This window comes from Homo sapiens, chromosome 17 (assembly GCF_000001405.40).
Source record: "Homo sapiens chromosome 17, GRCh38.p14 Primary Assembly".
NCBI classification, from domain to species: domain Eukaryota; kingdom Metazoa; phylum Chordata; class Mammalia; order Primates; family Hominidae; genus Homo; species Homo sapiens.
In genome coordinates this window covers 28,230,353-28,244,279 of record NC_000017.11, presented here as the reverse complement: position 1 = coordinate 28,244,279, position 13,927 = coordinate 28,230,353, and the positions used below count along the sequence as shown (strand labels likewise).

The 13,927-nt window shown below is 48.0% G+C and overlaps 1 annotated feature.

Moving 5' to 3' along the window:
• Positions 5,123-5,417: a silencer, noted in NCBI's record as "tiled region #13006; HepG2 Repressive non-DNase unmatched - State 13:Ctcf". NCBI's record gives its function as "represses a minimal TATA promoter and a strong SV40 promoter by Sharpr-MPRA in HepG2 cells {active_cell/tissue: HepG2}" and the evidence as "EXISTENCE:reporter gene assay evidence [ECO:0000049][PMID:27701403]".

The window sequence follows — 13,927 nt, the reverse complement described above, 5'->3', positions numbered from 1 at the left end:
CACCTGTAATCCCAGCACTTTGGGAGGCTGAGGTGGGCAGATCACCTGAGGTCAGGAGTTTGAGACCAGCCTGGCCAACATGGTGAAACCCCATCTCTACTAAAAATACAACAATTAGCCAGATGTGGTGGCTCGGACCTGTAGTCCCAGCTACTGGGGTGGCTGAAGCAGGAGAATTGCTTGAACCTGGGAGGCAAAGGTTGCAGTGAGCTGACAGCGTGCCACTGCACCCCAGCCTGGGCCTCCATCTCAAAACGAAAAACAAAAAGAACTACCTGAGTTTGGGTAATTTTATAAAGGAAAGAGGTTTAATTGACTCACAGTTTGGCATGGCTGCGGAGGCCTCCGGAAATGTACAGCCATCGCAGAAGGCGTAGGGGAAGCAAGGCACCCTCCTCACAAGGTGGCAGGAAGGAGAAGTGCTGATCAAAGCGGGGAATAGCATCTTATAATATCATCAGATCTCATGAGAACTCACTCACTATCACGAGAACAGCATGGGGAAAACTGCCCCCATGATTCAATGACCTCCACCTGGTCTCTCCCTTGACACATGGGGACAATGGGAATTGCAATTCAAGATGAAATTTGGGTGGGGACACAAAGCCTAACCATGTCACCATGTCTAGAACACAGCAATGCTCGCTCATCTTCATGTATTCCTGTCTGAGGCGTTTGAACCAGAGCGAGTCCATCTTGAACAGGGGCTGGGTAAAATGAGGCTGAGACCTGCTGGGCTGCATTCCCAGGAGGTTAGGCATTTTTAGTCACAGGATGAGATAGGAGGTTGGCACAAGATACAGGTCACAAGACCCTGCTGATAAAACAGAATGAGATAAAGAAGCTGGTACAAACATGCAAAAAACAAGAGGGTGATGAAAGTGACCTCTGATCATCCTTGCTGTTCTTTTTTTTTTTTTTTTTTTTTAGGAGAGATGGGGTTTCACCATGTTGGCCAGGCTGGTCTTGAACTCCTGACCTCAAGTGATCTGCCCACCTCGACCTCCCAAAGTTCTGGGATTACAGGTGTGAGCACGCCCGGACTCACTGATCATTATATGCTAATTATAATATATTAGCATGCTAAGAGATGCTCCCACCAGTGCCAGACAGTTTACAAATATCATGGCAATATCTGGAAGTTACCTTACATGGTCTAAAAGGAGACGGGACCCTCAGTTCTGGGAAATCCGCACCCTTTTCCTGGAAAACTCATGAGTAACCCACCCCTTGTTTATTAGTATATGATCAAGGCATAACCGTAAAAATAGCCAACCAGCAGCCATGGGGGCTGCTCTGCCTATGGAGTAGCCATTCTTTTGTTTCTTTCTTTTTTTTTTTGAGATGGAGTTTCGCTCTTGCAGCCCAGGCTGGAATGCAGTGGTGCAATCCTGGCTGACTGCAACCTCTACCTCCTGGATTCAAGTAATTCTCCTGCCTCAGCCTCCCGAGTAGCTGGGTTTACAGGCATGTGCCACCACACCCGGCTAATTTTGTATTTATAGTAGAGATGGGGTTTCTCTATGTTGGTCAGGCTGGCTTTGAACTCCTGACCTCAGCTGATCCGCCCACCTCGGCCTCCCAAAGTGCTGGGATTATAGGCATGGGCCACTGTGCCCGGCCCTCTTCTGTTTCTTTACTTCCCTTTTATTTATTTATTTTGTAGAGATGGGGGCTCAGTTTTTTGCCCAGGCTCAAACTATCCTCCTGCCTCGGCCTCCCAAGGTGCTGGGATTACTGGCATGAGCCACCGCGCCTGGCCCTTGTTTCCTTTCTTCTCTAATAAACTTACTTTCACTCTACTCTGTGGACTCACTCTGAATTCTTTCTTGCAGGAGCTCTAAGAACCCTCTTTTGGGGTCTGAATCAGAACCCCTTTTCAGTAACTCCCATAGTGCTTGCCACAGAGCCCTGATCTGAAATCACCAATTCACGGCCTGCAGATGCACTAAATGAAGATGATAGTGGTGCCTCTTCCCCTGCCCAACACCATGCCCTCTGGCACAAGGAGGATGGCCACTGGCAGTGATGGGGATGGAGTAAGTGCTATGAGACTAGGAGAGGAACACCCCAGAAACACCTGAGGTCACAGAGTGAACGAGGCAGGTAAAGGAGCAAAGGGAATGGGGTCCCCACATACGTGACCCCAGGGCAGCAGTTTGGCCTGCACTGTGTCCTCCATCACAGCCCCGGTCTTAGCTGTCTAACTGCAATCTCTGCTGCTTTCAGTGAATGACCAACGAGTGGTCATTTATTGCACATCTGTTCTGGGCCTGGTGGGGGCAGCGGGAGGAGATGAAGAAGCAAAGGTTCTGCAAGGAAGTTCAAGCTGTATGAGGAGCCGGGGGATGGCTTGCTTTTTTTTTTTTTAGACAGGCTCTCACTCTGTCACCCAGGCTGGAGTGCAGTGGCATGATCATGTTCACTATAGCCTCTGCCTCATGGCTCAAGGGATCCTCCCATCTCAGCTTCCCAAGTAGCTGGGACCACAGGTGTGTGTCACCACAGCCAGCCAAATTTTTTTTTTAATTTTGTGTAGAGATGGGCTCAAGTGATCCATCCGCCTCGGCATCCCAAAGTGCTGGAATTCAAGAGGGAGCCACTGCACCCAGCCAAGACGGTTTTTTGTTTTGGGATTTTTTTCTTTTTTGAGATAGAGTCTCACTCTGTCAACCAGGCTGGAGTGCAGTGGCACAATCTCAGCTCACTGTAAACTCTGCCTCCCGGGTTCCAGTGATTCTCCTGTCTCAGCCTCCCGAGTACCTGGGATTACAGGCGCCCGCCACCATGCCTGGCTAACTTTTGTATTTTTAGTAGAGACAGGGTTTTGCCATTTTGGCCAGGCTGGTTTCGAACTCCTGACCTCAGGTGATCTGCCCACCTTGGCCTCCCAAAGTGCTGGGATTACAGCCGTGAGCCACTGCATCTGGCCAGGGTGGCTTTTTTTGAAAGCAAGGACACGAAAGTTCAGAAAGGGAAGAAGCTGGCTGTGGCCCTCCAGCAAGCTGGCAGCCGTCCCTCACCTAAGGGTGCACTTCAGAAACTTCCTCACAGGTCATTTTACAAATGCCTCTTTGCTACCTTGTGAGGGAGGCAGGAATTACTCTTTGCTCTTATCAGATGAGAAAACCAAGGCCCAGTGAGGTAGCTGAGGTTGTCTAAGGTCACATGGGAGTCAGGAAGCGTCAAGACTAAACCCCGGTCTGCATGGTTCCAGCCTGGCTTTATCCCTGTTTCCAGACACCACCCTTCCGCCCCCGACCTCTGCCACTGGCCAGAGCCTGGCCCAGCCCTTAGGCCAATGTCTTATTCCAAAATTGAATGGCAGCAGCAGAGGACGGGGGTAAATTGGGGGGTAGCTGTCCCCAGATGCCAGGACCTATGCCCTAGAGAAACCTTTGCTCTGGGGATAGCTGTGACACCCACACGCATACCTTGAGCACCTTGTCTCACCCACTCTGAGCCAACTCAGGACCCAGTGGGGGCTCACTCCACTAATTTGGAGCCTGGGCTCTGCCTCCACTTCTCTCTGCCCTGGAAACTCCATGTGCCTCCAGGGCCTCCTGAAGACACACAGGGAGAGTTAGATATTTCTCCTTTCCTGTCTCCAGTGTCCGCAACAGCAAATCCTATCATTGCCACTCCAAATTGTTCTCAAAGAGGACGGCTTCTTTCTTGCTGAAATAGAGACTACACCAAGCTACAAAATACAGTGTTGGGGAGGTGAACAGGGAGGGCAGGGCAGGAAGGTTCCTGGAGGGAATGAGGCCTGAAGTGGCCTTGAAGGTTGGGGCAGGGGGAAATGCTATTTCACAGAAGTGGGGCTGTGGCAGTGGGGCTGAGCACTTTAGGGGCACACACTGAGGAATTGCAGGAGGAGGAGGAAGGGGTGTTATGAAATGCCTGGAGTTTCCAGGAAATAGTTTAGATTTCGTGTTTAGTAGAAACAGAACTGCTTTGGGATGAGAACTCTTACCTCTGTCCCTCACTCTATGGGTTCCTGCAAGCCTCTCTCCCTCTTGGCCTTGGGATTCCCATTGGTTCAATGAAGAGATAGGACCCAATGATTTCTAAATGACATCCAAAGGATATCATGTTTCTAGCAGATAATTCTAGGTGCCCAAATATCCACATTCTCCTTTCATCATCAAAGAGCTTGAGATGGTACATATGTAGGTTTGTTATATAACAACAAAAAAATCCATTTATAAATAAAAATATTTTTAAAAACAAAGAGCTTGCGATGGGCCCGCAGACACTCAGCTAAAGATGTCTCATAGGTTGTCCTTGCAGCTAAGTGGGGCCATGAGACTAGGCTTTAACCAGTGGGCTGAGAGTTAAAGTGATTTTTGCCATTCTGTTTTTAGGAATGGATGTGTCTGCCTGTGGCAGATTATATTTTTCAAAGATGACCACAAAAATATCTCCTATCTCATGTGTGATTCTACAGTGGGGTCTATGTCCCCTCTTCTTGAATGTGTGTGCACTTGTGACTGCTTTGACTAACAGAGTATGGGGTAGGATGCCATGTGACTTCTGAGGCTGGGTCACGGAAAGCAATTGTTATAAGTTAAATTGCATGTCCCCGCCCCCCACCAAATTCATATGATGCAGTCTTAATTCCTGCTGCCTCCGAATGTGACCTTATTTAGAAAGAGAATCATCGTGGATCTAATTAGTTAAGATTAGGTCATACTACAGTGTGTGAGACCCTAATCCCGTAGGACTGGTCTTATAAAAAGGGTAATTTGGGCACAGAAATAGACATGCATAGAGGGAAGATGATGTGAAGAAACACAGCTCAGACACCCATCTTCAAGGCAAGGAGAGAGGCCTGGAACAGATCAGAAGGAATCAACCCTGCCAACACCTTCATTTCAGACTGCTAGCCTCCAGAACTGTCGTTTAAACACCCAGTCTGTGACTCTTTACTATGGCAGTATGGTAGGAGACCACCACTTCTCCTGTTGTCCTTCCCAGTTTCTCCCCAACCTCCCCTTTTCCCTAGTTTATAAGACAGGAGAAAAGGGAGAAAGCAAAAAGTTGGAAAGAAACAGAAGTAAGATAAATAGCTAGACGACCTTGGCGCCACCACCTGGCCCTGGTGGTTAAAATGATAATAATATTAACCCCTGACCAAAACTACTGGTGTTATCTGTAAATTCCAGACATTATATGAGAAAGCACTGTAAAACTTTTTGTACTGTTAGCTGATGTAGGTAGCCCCCAGTCACGTTCCTCACACTTACTTGATCTGTGATGACTCTTTCACGTAGACCCCTTAGAGTTGTAAGCCCTTCAAAGGGCTAGGAATTTCTTTTTCGGGGAGCTCGGCTCTTAAGATGCGACTCTGCCGATGCTCCTGGCCGAATAAAAACCTCTTCCTTCTTTAATCCAGTGTCTGAGGAGTTTTGTCTGCGACTCATCCTGCTACATTTCTTGGTTCCCTGCCTGGGAAGCGAGGTAATTGATGGACGGAGGGTCGAGGCAGCCCCTTAGGTGGCTTAGGCCTGCCCTGTGGAGCATCCCTGTGGGGGACTCTGGCCAGCTTGAGTGACGCAGATCCTGAGACCACTCCCGGGTAGGCAATTGCCCCGGTGGAACGCCTCATCAGAGCAGTGCGTGGCAGGCCCCTGTGGAGGATCAACGCAGTGGCTGAACACCGGGAAGGAATGGGCACTTGGAGTCCGGACATTTGAAACTTGGTAAGACTGGTCTTTGGAACTTGCCCACTCCATCTGAGTGGAAGCGTGGCCTGATCACCCATGGCGTGCCTGTACCGGCACTTTGGTTTTTGTTTTTGACTTGACTTGAATTGCTTGATATTTTGGTTTTGGTTTTGACCTGGCTTGGACTTCTGGATACTCGGATTTTGGTTTTGATTCTGGTTTGGTGTAAACTGAAAAAGTGTGTGTGTGCCCTTTTTACCTGTTCTTTGTTCTGTGGTGTGTGTGTGGTGTAAGCTTGGTGTTTTGTCTTGAGGAAACACGGGTCAGACACAAAGTAAGCCTACTCCGCTAGGAACTGTGTTGAAAAATTTTAAGAAGGGATTTAATGGACACTATGGGGTTACTATGACACCAGGGAAACTTAGAACTTTGTGTGAAATAGATTGGCCAACATTAGAAGTGGGTTGGCCATCAGAAGGAAGCCTGGACAGGTCCCTTGTTTCTAAGGTATGGCACAAGGTAACTGGTAAGTCAGGACACTCAGACCAGTTCCCATGCATAGACACTTGGTTACAGCTGGTGCTAGAGCCCCCACAGTGGCTAAGAGGGCAGGCAGCAGCAGTGCTAGTAGCAAAGGGACAGATAGCCAAGGAAGGATCCCGCTCCACCGTCTGAGGGAAACCAACTCCTAAAGTTCTGTTCAACCCAACATCAGAAGATACATTGCAGGAGATGGCACCAGTGATCCCAGTGGTGCCCTCCCCTTACCAGGGAGAGGGGCTCCCCACTTTTGATTCCACAGTGCTTGTACCTCCGCAAGACAAACATATCCTTAGGCCACCCACAGTAGACAAGAGAGGAGGTGAAGCCTCGGGAGAAACCCCTCCCTTGGCAGCTCGTTTAAGACACAAAACTGGGATACAAATGCCCCTGAGAGAGCAGCAGTATACTGGTATAGATGAGGATGGTCACGTGGTGGAGAGGTGTGTTTTTGGGTACCAGCCCTTCACCTCTGCCCACCTTCTCAACTGGAAAAGCAATACCCCATCCTATACTGAAAAGCCACAAGCTCTAATTGATTTGCTCCAAACTATTATCCAGACCCATAACCCCACTAGGGCTGATTGCCACCAGTTGCTCATGTTCCTCTTTAACACAGATGAAAGGCGGAGAGTGCTCCAAGCAGCAACTAAGTGGCTAGAGGAACATGCACCGACTGATTACAAAAACCCCCAAGAGGATGTAAGGACCCAGTTACTGGGAACCTACCCCCAGTGGGACCCAAATGAAAGACAGGATATGCAAAGGCTAAACCGATACAGGGAAGCTCTCTTGGAAGGATTAAAGAGGGGAGCCCAGAAGGCCACAAACATTAACAAGGTCTCTGAGGTCATTCAGAGAAAAGAAGAAAGTCCAGCACAATTCTACGAGAGACTGTGTGAGGCCTATCGTATGTATACTCCCTTTGATCCCGATAGCCCTGAAAATCAGTGCATGATTAACATGGCTTTAGTTATTCAAAGCACAGAAGACATTAGAAGAAAACTGCAGAAACAGGCTGGGTTTGCAAGGATGAACACATCACAGTTATTAGAAATAGCTAACCAGGTGTTTGTAAACAGGGATGCAGTAAGCCGTAAGGAAAACCAGAAAGAGAATGAACGTCAGGCCCAGCGAAACGCTGATCTGTTAGCTGCAGCAATCAGAGGGGACCCCCCAAAGAGGCAAGGGAAGGGGGGCCCCGGGAAAGAAACTCAGCCTGGCTGTCAGAGCTTGCAGCGTAATCAGTGTGCTTATTGTAAAGAAATAGGACATTGGAAGAACAAGTGCTCTCAGCTAAAAGGAAAACAAGGTGACTTGGAGCAGGAGGCACCAGACAAGGAGGAAGGGGCCCTGCTCAACCTGGCAGAAGGGTTATTGGACTGAGGGGGACTGGGCTCAAGGGCCCCCAAAGAGCCTATGGTCAGGATGACAGTTGGGGGTAAAGACATTGATTTTCTTGTAGATACCGGTGCTGAACATTCGGTAGTAACCGCCCCGGTCGCCCCCTTATCCAAAAAGACTATTGACATAATCGGAGCCACGGGAGTTTCAGCAAAACAAGCTTTCTGCTTGCCCCGGACTTGTACTGTAGGAGGACATAAAGTGATTCATCAGTTTTTGTACATGCCTGACTGTCCCTTGCCCTTGTTGGGAAGGGACTTGCTTAGCAAGCTGAGAGCCACTATCTCTTTTACAGAGCATGGCTCTTTGCTGCTAAAGTTACCCAGAACGGGAGTCATTATGACCCTTACGGTCCCCCGAGAGGAGGAATGGAGACTTTTCTTAACTGAGTTGAGCCAAGAGATAAGACCAGCTCTGGCTAAGTGGTGGCCAAGAGTGTGGCCTGAAGACAACCCTCCAGGGTTGGCAGTCAACCAAGCCCCCATACTTATAGAAGTTAAGCCTGGGGACCAGCTGGTTAGGCAAAAACAGTACCCGGTCCCCAGAGAAGCTCTTGAAGGTATCCAGGTCCATCTCAAGTGCCTAAGAACCTTTGGAATTAAAGTTCCTTGTCAGTCTCCACGGAACACTCTCCTCCTGCCTGTTCCCAAGCCTGGGACCAAGGACTACAGGCCGGTACAGGATTTGCGCTTGGTTAATCAAGCTACAGTGACTTTACATCCAACAGTACCTAACCCGTACACATTGTTGGGGTTGCTGCCAGCTGAGGACAGCTGCTTCACCTGCTTGGACCTGAAAGACGCTTTCTTTAGCATCAGATTAGCCCCTGAGAGCCAGAAGCTATTTGCCTTTCAGTGGGAAGATCCGGAGTCAGGTGTCACTACTCAGTACACTTGGACCCGGGTTCCCCAAGGGTTCAAGAACTCCCCCACCATCTTTGGGGAGGTGTTGGCTCGAGACCACCAGAAGTTTCCCACCAGAGACCTAGGCTGTGTGTTGCTCCAGTATGTTGATCTTTTGCTGGGACACCCCACGGCAGTCGGGTGCGCCAAGGGAACAGACACACTACTCCGGCACCTGGAGGACTGTGGGTATAAGGTGTCCAAGAAAAAAGCTCAGATCTGCCAACAGCACGTACATTACTTGGGATTTACTATCCGACAGGGGGAGCGCAGCCTGGGATCAGGAAGAAAGCAGGTCATTTGCAATCTGCCAGAGCCTAAGACCAGAAGGCAGGTGAGAGAATTCTTAGGAGCTGCGGGGTTTTGCAGACTGTGGATCCCAAACTTTGCAGTATTAGCTAAGCCTTTGTGTGAGGTCACAAAGTGGGGGGGACCGGGACCTTTTGAATGGGGATCCCAGCAACAGCAAGCCTTTCATGAGTTAAAGGAAAAACTTATGTCAGCCCCAGCCCTGGGGCTATCCGATCTGACAAAGCCTTTTACATTGTATGTGTCAGAGAGAGAAAAGATGGCAGTTGGAGTTTTAACCCAAACTGTGGGGCCCTGGCTGAGGCCGGTGGCCTATCTCTCTAAACAACTAGACGGGGTTGCTAAAGGATGGCCCCCATGTTTGAGGGCCTTGGCACCAACTGCCCTGCTAGTACAAGAAGCAGATAAGCTGACTCTTGGGCAAAACCTGAACATAAAGGCCCCCCATGCTGTGGTGACTTTAACGAATACTAAAGGACATCATTAGCTAGCGAATGCTAGACTCACTAAGTACCAAAGTTTGCTCTGTGAAAATCCCCGTATAACCACTGAAGTTTGTAACACCCTGAACCCCACTACCTTGCTCCCGGTATCAGAGAGCCCTGTCAAGCATGATTGTGTAGAAGTATTGGACTCAGTTTACTCTAGCAGACCTGACCTCTGGGACCAGCCTTGGGCATCAGTAGACTGGGAACTATACGTGGATTGGAGCAGCTTCATCAACCCACAAGGAGAGAGATTTGCAGGGTGTGCGGTGGTAACCCTGGGCACTGTTGTTGAAGCCAGATCGTTGCCCCAGGGCACTTCAGCCCAGAAAGCTGAACTCATTGCTTTCATTCAGGCCTTAGAACTCAGTGAAGGTAAGACTGTCAACATTTACACTGACTCTCGGTATGCCTTTTTAACCCTTCAAGTGCATGGAGCATTATATAAAGAAAAGCGCCTATTGAACTCTGGGGGAAAGGACATAAAATATCAACAAGAAATCTTGCAATTATTAGAAGCAGTATGGAAACCACACAAGGTGGCCGTTATGCATTGCAGAGGACACCAGCGAGCTTCCACCTTGGTGGGTTTGCGGAATTCCCGCGCTGACTTAGAGGCTCGAAAAGCAGCATCTGCCCCCTTCCGGGCATCAGTCACAGCACCCCTGCTCCCTCAAGCGCCTGATCTTTTACCTACTTATTCTAAAGAAGAAAAGGACTTTCTCCAGGCAGAGGGAGGACAAGTGATGGAGGAAGGATGGATTCGGTTACCAGATGGGAGAGAAGCTGTGCCACAGCTGCTAGGAGCCGCAGTTGTGCTGGCTGTGCATAAAACCACCCATCTAGGCCAGGAGTCACTTGAAAAGTTGTTAGTCCGGTATTTCTACATCTTGCATTTGTCAGCCCTTGCCAAAACGGTGACGCAGCGGTGTGTTACCTGCCCAAAGCATAATGCGAAGCAAGGTCCAGCTGTTCCGCCCGTCATACAAGCTTATGGAGCAGCCCCCTTTGAAGATGTCCAGGTGGACTTCACAGAGATGCCAAAGTGTGGAGGTAACAAGTATTTACTAGTTCTTGTGTGTACCTACTCTGGTGGGTGGAGGCTTATCCAGCACAAACTGAGAAAGCTCGTGAAGTAACCTGTGTGCTTCTTCGAGATCCTATTCCTAGATTTGGACTGCCCTTACGGATCGGCTCAGATAATGGGCCAGCATTTGTGGCTGACTTGGTACAGAAGAGGGCAAAGGTATTGGGGAACACATGGAAACTGCATGCTGCCTACCGGCCTCAGAGTTCCAGAAAGGTGGAGTCGATGAATTGGACTATCAAAAATAGCTTAGGGAAAGTATGTCAGGAAACAGGATTAAAATGGATACAGGCTCTCCCTATGGTATTATTTAAAATTAGATGTACCCCTTCTAAAAGAACAGGATATTCCCCTTATGAAATATTGTATCATAGGCCCCCTCCCATATTGCAGGGACTTCCAGGCACTCCCCGAGAGTTAGGTGAAATTGAGTTACAGCGACAACTACAGGCTTTAGGAAAAATTACACAAACAATCTCAGCCTGGGTAAATGAGAGATGCCCTGTTAGCTTATTCTCCCCAGTTCACCCTTTCTCCCCAGGTAATCGAGTGTGGATCAAGGACTGGAACGTAACTTCTTTGTGCCCACGGTGGAAAGACCGTAGTCTGTCGTCCTGACCACTCCCACCGCTGTGAAGGTAGAGGGAATCCCAGCCTGGATCCACCACAGCCGTGTAAAACCTGCAGCACCTGAAACCTGGGAGGCAAGACCAAGCCCAGACGACCCTTGCAGAGTGACCCTGAGGAAGACGACAAGCCCTGCTCCAGTCACACCCAGAAGCTGACTGGTCCACGCACGGCCGAAGCATGAGGAAGCTCATCGTGGGATTCATTTTTCTTAAATTCTGGACTTACACAGTAAGGGCTTCAACTGACCTTACTCAAACTGGGGACTGTTCCCAGTGTATTCATCAGGTCACTGAGGTAGGACAGCAAATTAAAACAATCTTTCTGTTCTATAGTTATTATGAATATATGGGAATGTTAAAAGAAACTTGTTTGTATAATGCCACTCAGTACAAGGTATGTAGCCTGGGAAATGACCCACCTGATGTGTGTTATAACCCATCTGAGCCCCCTGCAACCACCATTTTTGAAACAAGATTAAGAACTAGCCTTTTCCTAGGTGACACAAGTAAAATAATAACTAGAACAGAAGAAAAAGGAATCCCCAAACAAATAATTTTAAGATTTGATGCTTGTGCAGCCATTAATAGTAACAAACTAGGAACAGAATGTGGTTCTCTTAACTGGGAAAGGAGCTACAGAGTAGAAAATAAATATGTTTGTCATGAGTCAGGGGATTGTGAAAATTGTGCCTTTTGGCCATGTGTTATTTGGGCTACTTGGAAAAAGAACAAAAAAGACCCGGTTCATCTTCAGAAGGGGGAAGCCAACCCTTCCTGTGCTGCCGGTCACTGTAACCCACTAGAACTAATAATTACCAATCCCCTAGATCCCCATTAGAAAAAGGGAGAACGTGTAACCCTGGGGATCGATGGGACGGGGTTAAACCCCCAAGTTGCCATTTTAATTAGAGGGGAGGTCCACAAGCGCTCTCCCAAGCCAGTATTTCAAACCTTTTATGAGGAGCTGAATCTGCCAGCACCAGAACTTCCGAAAAAGACAAAAAATTTGTTTATCCAATCAGCAGAAAATGTAGCTCATTCCCTTAATGTTACTTCTTGTTATGTATGCGGGGGAACCACTATCGGAGACCGATGGCCTTGGGAAGCCCGAGAGTTGGTGCCTACTGATCCAGCTCCTGATGTAATTCCAGTTCAGAAGGCCCAAGCTAGCAACTTCTGGGTCCTAAAAACCTCAATTATTGGACAATACTGTATAGCTAGAGAAGGGAAAGTCTTTATCATCCCTGTAAGAAAGCTTAATTGTATAGGACAGAAGTTGTACAACAGCACAACAAAGACAATTACTTGGTGGGGCCTAAACCACACTGAAAAGAACCCATTTAGTAAATTTTCTAAATTAAAAACTGCCTGGGCTCATCCAGAATCTCATCAGGACTGGGCAGCTCCCGCTGGACTATACTGGATATGTGGGCACGGAGCCTACATTCGGTTACCTAATAAATGGGCAGGCAGTTGTGTTATTGGCACTATTAAGCCGTCCTTTTTCTTATTACCCATAAAAACGGGTGAGCTCCTAGGTTTCCCTGTCTATGCCTCCCAAGAGAGGCATAGTTATAGGAAACTGGAAAGATAATGAGTGGCCCCCTGAAAGGATCATACAGTATTATGGGCCTGCCGCATGGGCACAAGACAGCTCATGGGGATACTGAATCCCCATCTACATGCTCAATCAGATCATATGGTTGCAGGCCATCTTAGAAATAATTACTAATGAAACTTTGACTGTTTTAGCTTGGCAGGAAACCCAAATGAGGAATGCTATCTCTCAGAATAGGCTGGCCTTGGACTACTTGCTAGCAGCTGAAGGAGGAGTTTGTGAAAAATTTAACTTAACCAGTTGCTGCCTACAAATAGATGATCAAGGACAGGTGGTTGAAAACATAGTCAGGGACATGACAAAGGTGGCACATGTGTCTGTACAGGTTTGGCACGAGTTTGATCCTGAGTCTTTCTTTGGAAAATGGTTTCCAGCTACAGGAGGATTAAAAACCCTCATTGTAGGTGTAGTGCTAGTAATAGGAACTTGCTTGCTGCTCCCCTGTGTATTACCCTTGCTTTTTCAAATGATAAAATGTTTTGTTGCTACTTTGGTTCATCAAAAAACTTCAGCACACGTGTATTATATGAATCACTATCGCTCTATCTCGCAAAGAGACTCAGAAAGTGAGGATGAGAGTGAGAACTCCCACTAAAAAGTGAAAATTCTCAAAGGGGGGGAATATGGTACGAGACCACCACTTCTCCTGTTGTCCTTCCCAGTTTCTCCCCAACCTCCCCTTTTCCCTAGTTTATAAGACAGGAGAAAAGGGAGAAAGCAAAAAGTTGGAAAGAAACAGAAGAAAGATAAATAGCTAGACGACCTTGGCGCCACCACCTGGCCCTGGTGGTTAAAATGATAATAATATTAACCCCTGACCAAAACTACTGGTGTTATCTGTAAATTCCAGACATTGTGTGAGAAAGCACTGTAAAACTTTTTGTAGTGTTAGCTGATGTAGGTAGCCCACAGTCACATTCCTCACACTTACTTGATCTATTATGACTCTTTCACGTAGACCCCTTAGAGTTGTAAGCCCTTCAAAGGGCTAGGAATTTCTTTTTCGGGGAGCTCGGCTCTTAAGATGCGAGTCTGCTGATGCTCCCGGCCGAATAAAAAACCTCTTCCTTCTTTAATCCGGTGTCTCAGGAGTTTTGTCTGCGACTCGTCCTGCTACAGCAGCCCTAGCAAACTAAATAGCAATGCCATCTTCATCCAATTCTCTGGAAATAAGCGGGAAGCCAGCTACAATGTAAGTCCAACTACCCCAAGAATATCGTGCTGGAGAGCCCATTTGTAGGTACGACAGTCAACAGCCCCGGCTGAACTCAACAGCCGGCACCA